This window comes from Homo sapiens, chromosome 16 (genome assembly GCF_000001405.40).
Source record: "Homo sapiens chromosome 16, GRCh38.p14 Primary Assembly".
Taxonomy (NCBI): Eukaryota; Metazoa; Chordata; class Mammalia; order Primates; family Hominidae; genus Homo; species Homo sapiens.
This window is the reverse complement of record NC_000016.10, coordinates 78,919,984-78,932,688: the sequence shown is the minus strand read 5'-3', so window position 1 is coordinate 78,932,688 and position 12,705 is coordinate 78,919,984. Positions and strand designations below refer to the sequence as shown.

The 12,705-nt window shown below is 43.1% G+C and overlaps 1 protein-coding gene across 2 annotated transcripts in view, besides 1 other annotated feature; it reads right to left on the bottom strand.

The window, feature by feature from the left end:
* WWOX (WW domain containing oxidoreductase) overlaps window positions 1-12,705 on the bottom strand; it is a 1,113,014-nt gene that overhangs the window by 279,979 nt on the left and 820,330 nt on the right. The gene's annotated exons all lie outside the window — the stretch shown is intronic.
* Window positions 7,469-7,518: an enhancer, noted in NCBI's record as "active region_11157". NCBI's record gives its function as "activates an Ori minimal core promoter by ATAC-STARR-seq in GM12878 lymphoblastoid cells {active_cell/tissue: GM12878}" and the evidence as "EXISTENCE:reporter gene assay evidence [ECO:0000049][PMID:35858748]".

Genomic DNA, 12,705 nt, shown 5'->3' with positions numbered 1-12,705 from the left:
TCCACCAGGTCCTCCCATGGGGGGAATTCACCCCAGAGGCCGCAGCTGCAGGCTTCTCTTTCAGGGAGGTCAGCAATTCCAGCGCTTGGTCGGCACCTCTTGAAAACGGTGCCAGGAACATTTCGAGGACAGCATTTTCCTTGGCAGGTGTGCCTGCCGGCAGGGCCCACTTCAAGGTTTGCAAGAGCAGGAAAAAGACATCTGGGATCTATCTGTGGCTGTCGGTGTGCACATTTTGAGGGGCAAAGTGAAAAAGAACTCTCTGACGCAGCATGTTCTTATCCAGGCATAGGCTGTCTATACAAAGAAAAACACCAGGGTGGAAAAACGGCCTGAGGGGCACCTGGAATTGTCTCAAGGACTGCGTTAGGTCACTGCCTGGTCAGTACAAGAAGCACTTCTCTGTTTGCGGACAGGACCAGATACCTTCATCCCTTCTGAAGAATTGGATACAATACTTTATGAGGAGCTTAGAAAAAGAGCTACCCCTCCATGTTCGAAGGACTGGGAGTCAAGCCCCTCAGACGTACCAGCAATTCAAGTGGTGTATTAGTTTGTTCTCATGCTGCTAATAAAGACATACCTGAGACTGAGTAATTTATAAAGGAAAGAGGTTTAACGGACTCACAGTTCCACATGGCTGGGAAAGTCTCACAATCACGGCAGAAGGCCAATGTGGAGCAAACACATGTCTTAAATGGCAGCAGGCAAGAGAGTTTGTGCAGGGGAACTGCCCTTTATAAAACCATCAGATCTCATGGGACTTATTCACTATCATAACAACAGCATGGGAAAGACCCACCCCCATGATCCAATTACCTCCCACGATTCAAATCCCTCCCATGTGGCGTGGGGATTATGGGAGCTAAAGTTCAAGATGAGACTTGGGTGGAGACACAGCTAAACCATATCAAGTGGGTACTGCTAACCTGGAATTGCCTTCAAACTTCTGCCCAAGTGTCTTGTCCTCTGTGAACAGTTGGAAAATACTAAACACTTGTCCCTCTGTATTCCAGGCAGATCTGTAGATGACTCCATGACTGCATATTCTGCACTATATTTTACCTAATTACTTTTATATGTGCCTCCTCTATTAGACTATAGGTTTCTCAAGGTCAAGGATCATGTACTCATTGCCTTTGTATCCTCACCTTTCTCCTTCAAGCACATGCCCAGCAATCCTTGCTGAGCTGAACTGGCCCAGCCCAGCAAAATCTGCTGACTATGCAGAGTTGTATATTTCATTTCCAGCTCAAACTTTTATGTGCTGAGGACTTCCCATTCTCCCTCCATCATTCTTCCGTCCTGTTCATTTCCTTAGCAGGGCAGGTACCCTCTCAGCCTTTCAGTCTCCAAAGAGAAGAAGACCTTCTTTGACTACCGTTCAGATTGGGAGTTTCTCTTACCATTCCTAGAGCATGCTGACCTGCGTTCCCATTATCCCTCCCCACACAGCATCTCCAGGGTCTTGTCAGTTTTCCACTATTCCTGAGTGTGGTAACTGTCTACGGATGTGCGTATAGCTCTGTTTTCGTAAGCTCCTTAAGGACAATGATAGGACCTTTTATTTTGCTTTCACTAAAATCTATTAAATTCTTATTTACCATATGCTCATCACTAAGTAAAACATTTCATGTGCATTTCTCATGTGATACTCACATCAGGTGTAGGAGATAGATATTGCTATCCCCATCTTATGGATGAGGAAACTGAGGCTGCTAGTGACATGTCCAGGTTCATAAGGGTACTAGTTAGTGATAGGACCTGGGAACGAACCCAGAACTAATTGACCACAAAGCCCATGTTACATTTAACTGTCATTCTCCTTGTCTTTGTCACCTCAGTGCCTTGCATAGCGACTGACCTATGAACAGCGGGTACTCAGCAAATATGTGTGATGGAAGCATCACAGGTGCCGTGGAACCTTGCCAGGACTTTTCAGTGAGTTCTTCTGCTCAACTTTACTCACTCATTTTTTCATTCTGCTCTTTGTCCTTGATACATTTACTCAATAGGATTAACTGCAATTAACAGGAAACCCAAATAATGGTGCCTTCAAACTGAGTGAAGTTTGTTTAAAAAAAAAAAAAAAAGTCCTTGCCTGGTGCAGCAGCCTATGCCTGTGATCCCAGCACTTTGGGAGGCTGAGGCTGGCGGATCACTTGAGGCTAGGAGTTCAAGACCAGCCTGGGCAACATGGTGAAACCCCGTCTCTACAGAAAAAAAAAAAAAAAAAAAAATTAGCTAGCTGGGTGTGGTGGTGCACACCTGTAGTCCCAGCTACTCAGGAGGCTAAGGTGTGAGGATCGCCTGAGCCCAGGAGGTTGAGGCTGCAGTGAGCCATGAATGTGCCACTGCACTCCAGTCTGGGTGTGGAGGAGACCCTGTCTGAAAAAAAAAATAAAAAAAGAAAGAGAGAAAGGAAGGAAGGAAGGAAGGAAGGAAGGAAGGAAGGAAGGAAGGAAGAAAGGTCCTGAAATAATCCACCCCAGGCTCTGGGGTATGGTGTAATTTTCAGGACCCAAGTTCCTCCCATTTCCATTCACAATATTGTTTCTCTGCCAGACCCCACATCCCAGACGGCAGGAAGGGAAGGAGGAGTGTGAAGAAGGCAAGAAGCTATGCTTCCCCTAAGGACACGCCCAAGAAGTCCATGTGGGACTTCCCTGCCACCCCATTCGCTAGAACTGGGTCACATGGTCACACGGTCACAGAGAGCTAGCTGCAAGGGCAGTTAGCACAGGGAATTTTTATCCTGAACTACCGTGTACCTCTTAGAAAATTCTGCTTCTAAGAAAGAAGGATGGGCTAGATACTGGGTAAAAAGGCAAGGGTCCGTGCACAATCGCATTTCCTGCACCTGAAACCCAGTCTTTCTTGGATTTATGGCATTGCCCCAGGTCAGATTCTGGTCACCTTGGACTGACCCTCTGCAACCTCATCTTTCCATTTTCTTTTCAAAGCTGCCTTCCTAAACGCTCTTCCTGAAATCTTTCCTGAGCTGGCTGCAGCATGCAGTCCACGCGGGTCTTTAGTCGCCATCCCAACCCCAGAAATAGAAGCAGGGCCTGGCAATCTTATCCCGCCCTCCTTGTCCACCAGGCTCAATAAATATTTGGGGAGGAGAATGACTGAAGGTATGGCCATCTCACTCGGATCCCAGATCCCACTCGGATACGGTGCCAGTATTTTTTTTTCCTCTCCTTAGCATTGGAAATAGATTTTTAAGCAGTGTTATATAGCAGTTCCTCTTCAAAATCCTTCTTTCCTATTCTTTAGTAATGTCTTTATAAATCACTGTTATAAAAATAAGGCAAGCAGGAGAAAAAATATGCACTATATAGAAACTGAAAATTCAAGTATTTGCTTTTTATTGGACACTTGAGGCTCTTAAAAAAGAGAACTGCTAGGAAACTTAAATACAAAAAAAAAAATCACTGTATGATAACATAAAAGCCCAACAGAACTGAAGAGTTTATGAAAATAATTCGAATATTTACACTTCAATTTACGGTCTGAAAATCACCCCCAAACCGTGTTCTTATTCTTAAATGGATTTCTTGAGAGAGCGTTAAATACATTTTGATTATTTTGACATGATGTCTACTTGGATGTTCTGTGCAATGATTTGAAGGCAAAAAGGAAATTCTTTAAAAATCTAATGTAACTATATGTGAACGTATATTATATATACAGAAATGTACATTTATATGCATGCATACATGTAAAGTTTAACAAGCATCTCAACTTAAAGGGGCACTTCTGGTTGTTGTTATTGTTAGGGGAAAATACTGTAAATTTAACTCGAAGGAAGCCTACAGTCAAAACACATTATAATTCTCTTGACAGAGAAGCTTGGGTTCAAGTTCATATCTTTTTATCTTCTAAAACTGAGGCTTGCACGATCACTGAAACTGTGTTTTATACACATCACAGAAACACAGCAATGCAGGTCCATAAAAGTGTTGATGAAAGAGAGCCAAATATACCAACTGATCACATTTTCTTTCCTATTATTTTTTTTTCCAGTAAGTCAAAGAAACCCCTTCTCAGAATTTCTTTCATTTCATCTATTTAGAAAGTGTATTTACAACTATTTTAACAGGCCCCCAAAGCATCAAATATCTGTAACGAAAAATCAGTATTCACTTCAGAAGGGGAAAAAATATTCACAACAAGAAAAGTGGGGCCGGGCGCGGTGGCTCACGCCTGTAATCCCAGCACTTTGGGAGGCCGAGGCGGGCAGATCACGAGGTCAGGAGATCGAGACCATCCTGGCTAACACGGTGAAACCCCGTCTCTACTAAAAATACAAAAAATTAGCCGGGCGTGGTAGCGGGCGCCTGTAGTCCCAGCTACTCGGGAGGCTGAGGCAGGAGAATGGCGTGAACCCGGGAGGCGGAGCTTGCAGTGAGCCGAGATCGCGCCACTGCACTCCAGCCTGGGCGACAGAGCGAGACTCCGTCTCAAAAAAAAAAAAAAAAAGAAAAGTGGTAGGGAAAAGCATAGTTCCAAACACTTTATTATTAAACTCATGGGTTTAATGAAAACCAAACATGGAGAATACATTATGTAAATACATACGGACAAAAGGCTTTTGAAGTCCAGGCGACCACAGTATCCAGGATCTGAGAGTATGATATTTTTTTTGTTTGTTTATGCATTCTAGCAAGACTTCATATAACACGCACACACACATACACACACACACAAAAACCCTGAGATTGTTTATTCAGTTTTAAGCACAAATCTCTGCAAACTTAAGCAAAAGGAATGGCTAGGAATATGTAAGTGTCTGGGTAAAAGAATAATTCATTGAACTTCAGTTAGAAACAAAAATAAACAGTAAGAGAAATCCCTACTTAATCTGCCTTCCAAAGAAAGACATTTATTCAAGGATACACAGGCAAATTCCCCCACGCTGGAGCAATGAAACGAAACTAAAAATCAGAAACAAAAGATACAAGCCCAGGCACCAAGTAAGCTCAATAAATAAGTGCTTGATTAAGTCTGATAATTATGCCTTAATTACCTTCCTTCTCTCCAATTTAGATTTAAAGGAAAATACAACTGCAAATAGTTATGTGAACTACATAGGGTTGTAGTGCTGGTACCTACGCAACTTCAGAAATCAAATGACTAACATCCATTTATCAAATATCTATTGAGTGCCTACCTGCAGTCTGGCTCTGGGCTCCGTGCTGAGGCAAGGGGATGAAAAGAGAACTTTTACCCACAGAGAATTTACAAACAAACATGTAGACAGACACATGGTAATAACAGACATAAGAACAGTTATTGATGGTCTGCTCCATCAATACTTACACCAAAACTCAAGGAAATTAAATGACTTGCCTAAGGTCACCAGGATAAACAGTGGACCAAGAGCAGGCTCTGCTGGAGGCCGGTGTCATGTTCTTTCCCTGAAGCTCGGACTAAATGGATAAGTAACAACCAGCCAGGCATTGAAAATCCTGCTCACGAGTACCACATACCTCATTCTCTCCTCAAAACAAGGTCCATTTTATACAGGAGAAAACTCAGGCTGGAGAAACCATCACAGTGACTTTCTCGCAGTCAAGAATGGTGCCTGGGCAGGGCATGGTGGCTCATGCCTATAATTCCAGCAATTTGGGAGGCCAAGGCGGGTGGATGGCTTGAGCTCAAGAGTTTAAAACCAGCCTGGGAAACATGCCAAAACCCCATCTCTACAGAAAATACAAAATTAGGCAGGTGTCATTGCTGGTGCCTGTGCTCCCAGCTACTTAGGAAGCTGAGGTGGGAGGATCACTTGAGCCCAGGAAGTAGAGGCTGCAGTAAGCCTTCATCGCACCAATGTACTCCAGCCTGGGTGACAGAGTGAGACCCCTTCTCAAAAAACGAAAACAAAAACAAAAAAACAAACTGGCACTCAGCTCTCAATACTCACACCCATGGTCTTTCTAGAAATGTAGAAAGACTTTTCTCCATCAAGTCTTTCAAAAGCAAACAACTTTCTCCACAACACCTGAACAAATGATAAAGGTCATACCAGTGTATGCTGCCCAAAGATCAGCACTTGTTGAATGAAAGAACTGACAAACCACTCCCGCATCACAGACCAACAGCAAAGAAGTGTACGTCTGCTTTCTGCAAAATGACTGAAAACAAGTTTTTAAATGGCTGCGACTTCGCCATCCTGCTCCTCCTCAAAGACAAGGATGGAGAAACCATAGACACAAACTCAGAATTTCAGTAACCAAGAGAAATTATAGACAGTTACATTCAAATTGCATGGGCCAGGCTTTATTTTCTTAGGAACTTTTTTTTTTTTTTTTTGAGATAGGGTCTCACTGTCACCCACGCTGAAATGCAATGGCACGAGCATGGCTCACTGCAATCTCCACCTCCTGGGCTCAGGATATCCTCCCACTTTAGCCTCCCAGGTAGCTGAAACCACAAGTGGGCACCACCATGCCTGGCTAAGCTTGTAAATTTTTGAGAGGTAAGGTTTTGCCATGTTACCCAGGCTGGTCTCAAACTCCTGGGCTCAAATGATCCACCCATTTTGGGTCCATCCACTCCCAAAGTGCTGTATTTTCTTAGGGTTCTACAATTGGCTGTAAACCTCTACCAAGAGCAGCAGTTTCTCCTTACCTGTCCTGTCTGTCTCCAGAATTGTTCATAGACTCTACAATTTACACTTAGCTCTCCCCACATCCCTTCCCTTCTCCCTGCCCTCTTGGTTCACAGTCTTTCTGCCCAATCGCATTCATGGTCTGAAACAGTCCCACATTCTACCTTCATTCTGAAGGGAGGCAAGGGTGGGATCAAATGAAAAACCAAGAAATGACCAAATCCTGGTAGGCTAGAACTAGGGCTTCAGCGAGGCTCTTTACCTCTGAGCACTGCTTTCTTATTGGCCAAAGCCTCACCCTGCAAGAACAAACAGCATCTTCACCCTTAGAGAGAAACAAAATATGACCAAAGCTCTGGAAGGTGGAGACTTCCCTTCTCAAATCTTGGCAAAAGATACATGCAAAAACCTGGTTCTCATTGAGGAAAAGAGTTCTGTACAGTTTGACGAAGCAGAAATATATTTTAAAATGTGCATCTCCTCCCTGTAATACTACCCCTTCTGTTTTACAGCAATAGCTCCCTAGTGGAAAGAAGCAGAAAACAACACACATAAGCGAGTTCCTGGTTAAGACGCTGGGAACTTAAAGCAGGACATGTTTGAAATGTGAGGGCATTTTTTAACACCAAGGAAGGTAATTATTCCATGGAACTTCGTGGACATATTTTGCCTGAGAGCTGTCCTTTCAAACAATAACTGAGAAGGGTGGATCTCCCTTTGTTGCCATTTTAGAACTCTGTGTTTATCATCCGGGCAGTTGAGGGGTTATTTTCCTCAATCCCAGTATGCTGCCACCCAGTGGCAGCAATGATCAGCCTTGGTCATGTGGCTTCTACCAGGCTTAGCCAATGAGCACGTTTTCTTTTTGTTTTTGTTTTAAGTCAGGGTTTTACGTTCTCATGCAGTCTGGAGTGCAGTGGCAATATCATTGCTCACTGCAGCCTCGACCTCCCAGGCTCAACCAATCATCCCATCTCAGCCTCCCCAGTAACTGGGACTACAGGCACACACCACCATGCCTGGCTAACTTTTTTATTTTTTGTAGAGACAGGGTTTTGCCATGTTGCCCAGGCTGGTCTTGAACGCCTGAGCTCAACTGATCCTCCCGCCTTGGCCCCCCAAAGTGCTGGAATTACAAGCATGAACCTCCAGGCCTGGCCAAGTATGTTTATTTGAAAAGACAAACATTGAGAGCACACTGTGTGCTAGAGCCTAATAAAGGATATATGCATTTTCACACATATGTTGACACCAACAATCACTAGTAGTCTAAAAGAGATGTCTATAAGGTATTACAGAAATACTTAAACAGAAGACATCATATAGGAAGCTCTACAGAATGACCAGATTATAAACTTATTCAAGGTATTAATGGTTACTCTCCCACACAGAAGCCAACTAATAAATGTTGAATGGATAATCGTGGAGTAAATTAACACTTTCTAAACAGTCAAAAGGACTCTGATATATGTTTTTACCAATACTGGCTTTCTTATCCTCCTAACAACAGTGGAAGGATTTTACAGATAAGGAAACTGGGCTGAAGAGAATCTTGAGTAAATTACTCAAGTACAACCAAGTAGCCTGCAGCGAAGACAAGTTTTAAGTGAGATATTTTAACTCCAAAGCTGGGATTCTTTCCATTCTGCCATTAGTCTGACTTTTAAATAAATATTTGTGGATAGACAAGTTCCATTTTTGATGATGATATGATGGCAGCAAGCTCCATTTTTCAAACAAAGTTTAAAAGCAACCCCACCCCCTAAAAAAGCCTTCCTAATCCTAAAATCTTATAAAACTTGTCTAACCACATTATAAAGTTCTTTTCCAAGACGTCTATGAATTCACAGCTTCAAGACCAAGCTTCAGAGACCTCCCAGCTACCTTCCCCGGTCTACCCAGCCTTCTTTCTGCTTCTCTAACCAGAGCCTTGTCTATGGATTAATAGTTCCTAGCAGCCGGGCACAGCGGCTCATGTCTGTAATCCCAGCACTTTGGGAGGCCAAGGTGGGTGGAATCACGAAATCAGGATATCAAAACCATCCTTGGCTAACACGGTGAAACCCCGTCTCTACTAAAAAAAACAAAACAAAATAAAACAAAAAATTAGCCAGGCGTGGTGGCGGGCACCTGTACTCCCAGCTGCTCGGGAGGCTGAGGCAGGAGAATGGCATGAACCCAGGAGGCGGAGGTTGCAGTGAACCGAGATCGCGCCACTGCACTCCAGCCTGGGCAACAGAGCAAGACTCCGTCTGAAAAAAAAAAAAAAAAAAAAAAACTAACTAAAAACAGTTCCTAGCAATCAACCCAGATCATCACTTGTGAAACTTGTGAATCCTTTTGACATTTCCAAGGCAGATAAAAACTACTTTTTCTTGAAGAATAAAGTTCACACGACTAATTTTTTCCAATAGGAAAAAGCCATATATTATTTGATTCATAGAAGAGTGAAATATCCCCCCACCCGCCAAGAGATTTGTAGAAAAAGCTGCTAACACACTATGAATGGAAAATTTATATATATTATGTATGTAGAATTTCCAAAGCTCTTTTCTGAAAAAGTTGATATTCTGACTCCCAATCCCAAGAAAGAACAAAACAAAATATAAACTAGATATTAGGAAAGGTAGGCTCAAAAAATAGCAGGCTGGACCTGGGACTTATATAGAAGAAAATGACTGCTCTATTTTTAGAATGATCTGAACTAGAAATAATGATGTTGATAATGATGATATTCTGGTGAAATTAAGCCATGGTGGGCAAGGTAGAAGGAGAGGAAGAAAAAGAAAGATGGCCGGGCACAGTGGCTCAAGCCTGTAATCCCAGTGCTTTGGGAGGCCGAGTTACGCAGATCACCTGAGGTTGGGAGTTTGAGACCAGCCTGACCAACATGGAGAAACCCCGTCTCTACTAAAAATACAAAATTAGCCTGGCATGGTGGCACATCCCTGTAATCCCAGCTACTCGCAAGGCTGAGGCAGGAGAATCACTTGAACCCAAGAGGCAGAGGTTGAGGTGGACCAACATTGCGCCATTGCACTCCAGCCTGGGCAATAAGAGCAAAACTCTGTCTCAAAAAAAAAAAAAAGAAAAGAGAAAGAATTATGCCTCCTGAATATGGAATATTTTTATCTAAAGATGTTAGATTTCTAGGCAAATAAAAATTTAGTTTTAAGTTCTTATTTTTAGTATGATTAATAAGCCCTTATTGAAAATAGGCCACATTACTTAGCAATGGTGCCCAGGACTGGGACCCCCAAGCTCCAGTTCCTTTAGTTACTCCTGAGCTTTATGGTTTGAGTGAAACCTGTGAGCCTCAGCTTCCTTCTCTGTAAATGGGAAAGTTGGAATCCTTTCTTATAAAATCCTTTCCAAATTAAAAAACATTCACTGAGGCTGGTGGTCGTGGCTCACGCCTGTAATCCCAGCACTTTGGGAGGCCAAGGTGAGGGGATCACCTAAGGTCAGGAGCTCGAGAGCAGCCTGGGCAACATGGTGAAACCCTGTCTCTACTAAAAATACAAAAATTAGCTGGGTGTTGTTGTGCATGCCTGTAATCCCAGTGACTCAGGAGGCTGAGGCACGAGAATCGCTTGAACCCGGGAGGTAGAAATTGCAGTGAGCCAAGGTCACGCCACTGCACTCCAGCCTGAGCGACAGAATGAGAGACTGTCTCAAAAAAAAAAAAAAAATCACTGAAATATATGCAGAATATATTCCTGAAAAAAAGAGTCTTTGTTTGCTTGGGCACCTCTGATCATACTCTGGAGACTCTTAATGTGATTTAGGATGGGGCCTAACTACACCCATGTAACCTTAGGTTGCAGATGAACCATTCTTAAAGGACCAACAATATTGCTTAGGGTAGGGACACTGTACCACAGTTATCAGTTGACTTGGAGGCTGAGATCAAATATGTGGGCAATCACCCAATCACACCTACGCAACGAAGACCCAATAAATACTCTGAACACAGAGGCTCAGGTGAGTTTCTCTGTCTGACAATATTCCATGCATACTGCCACACATAGATAGTAGAAAAGTATTCTGTCCTGATGTCATGGGTAGAGGACAATAGAAGCTTCACATCTGGTACTTGTCTTGGACTTTGCCCCATTTGTCTCTTCCCCGATCTAATTTTAACCTGTATCCTTTCCCTGTAATAAACTGTAACTGTAAATACAATAGCTTCTGCTAAGTGCCACAAGTCCTTCTAGCAAATATCAGCCATGAGGATGGGTTTGAGGACCACCTCAAACTTGCAGTGGGTGTCAGAGTAAGGACAATCTTGGGCATCATGCCTTCTAACTTGCAGTTACCCCTTACTCCTCACAGTAGCCCATGAGAAGTTTAGACACACACTCTGCTTACTTTAACAGTTAGTACTCAGAAGGAGTTGCCAGGAACCCATTCCTCTCTTACCTCCATGACCTGTAGGTCATCCAGAATCCATGTAACCTCCCTGAGCTCCAGTTTCCTCATCAGTGAAATGAGAATGTGAGTAAGCTGCTCAGTCCCAATGACATCTTTATTATGAGACTTGATTAAGAGAATGACTGTGAAAGGTCTTTGAAAATGGCAATCTCTTTTTCAATTATAGGATATTAAGAGCTGTTGTTACTATGATTTTGCAGCTCAAATGCTTCAGGATTCTATCTACTCTCCTAATTTTACTGTACTCCCCATGACCAGTGAGTCCACCTTTCCATCAGCAGGTGCTGAAATTATGTCAGCTAGAACTTTCATTAGCAAATGGTTTTAGTCAGTGAAAAGTAATGGCAAAATAAATGCGGCATTTTGACGTAGCTGTATCTATTCTGGCACAGTGCGGTTTCGAGGCTAATGTCTTTTCAAACAGCTCTGTTTTGCCTGCAGACTTGAATACCCTCATTACAGTGTTTGAAAAAAAAAGTTCCCTTATGTTTTTTTAAAGAGCGCCATTCTTCAAAAAGATGTCAAGAAGCTCTTTTTTTCCCCCTTGCTACAAGGTGTAATGTAGAGATAAGCACAAAATCTGGTTGGAAATGTGACCTATATTGGACTGGCAAAGCTTAATATCAAGCAAACAGCCAGTGTGGGAGCTGGTTTTGTCCTACCTTGCTGCTGGTATTTGCAGAAAAGTACCACATATTATGTGTGGACAGTGAGAGCAGTTTGAAAGTCAATTACAGTTTTTAAAAATTGGAATCATTTGCTCATCGAGCTCATCAGAGTTTTGAACAAGTCCCTGGCCTTCCTCACAACAGCCAAAGCCAGGTCTTTTGGAAAACATTTTATTTTCATGCTCAGCGTAATAAGAAGAGAAAAGTCGTGTTTTGCAGATGAAATGGTGCTGATAATAAAAAGTAGGTCACACTTTCTCTCTCTGTCTCCATCACTCTTTACTTTCTCTGAAAGACAAAGGAGTGTTTCCAAGACATGAATCAAGCAGGTCAGGTACCTGACCTGGATGTTCTTTGCACTCTGAGTAAAATTAGGAACATTTTCACTCAAAGCTGACATTTAACAAGGGCAGGGAACTTGGAAACAATAACTGCTTTCTACGTGACTGACAAGGAGGGCTGGGTTGGGGATGCAGGCAGCAGTTCCTCCAGTCATTCGGGGTCAGCGAAAATCACAGGTCCAAAGAACCATAGGTGGCTGGGACCTTAGGACTTGGGACAGCAAGACAGAAAACAGTCACAAGGAGGAAAGCATCACATCTGCACCCATGGGAGACAATGTTATTGTGCATTATTATTTACTTCTCCAGCTATGGGGAGATTACACATCCCTGCCCCAGAGTGACCAGGTCACTGTGTTTGGCCAGTGAAATGTCAGGTGTCACGTCCTGGAAGAAACTTTAAGAACTTGTCTTTTCTCTTTCCCCTGGAGTCCTAGAGAGAAGCTGTGCTTTTACTCTGGATCCTGGCATGGAGAAGACCAAGAGCAAGCAGAGCCAGCTCTTGACGGCCCTACAGTGTAGACAAGAACTCAGTCTTTGTTTTTGCAAGCTATGGCATGGTGGGGTCGTTTGTTACTGCGGCAAACCTAGTCTACGCTGACTGATACAATGACCCTCAGTGCTTCCCTTCCAAAAGCATGAGAAG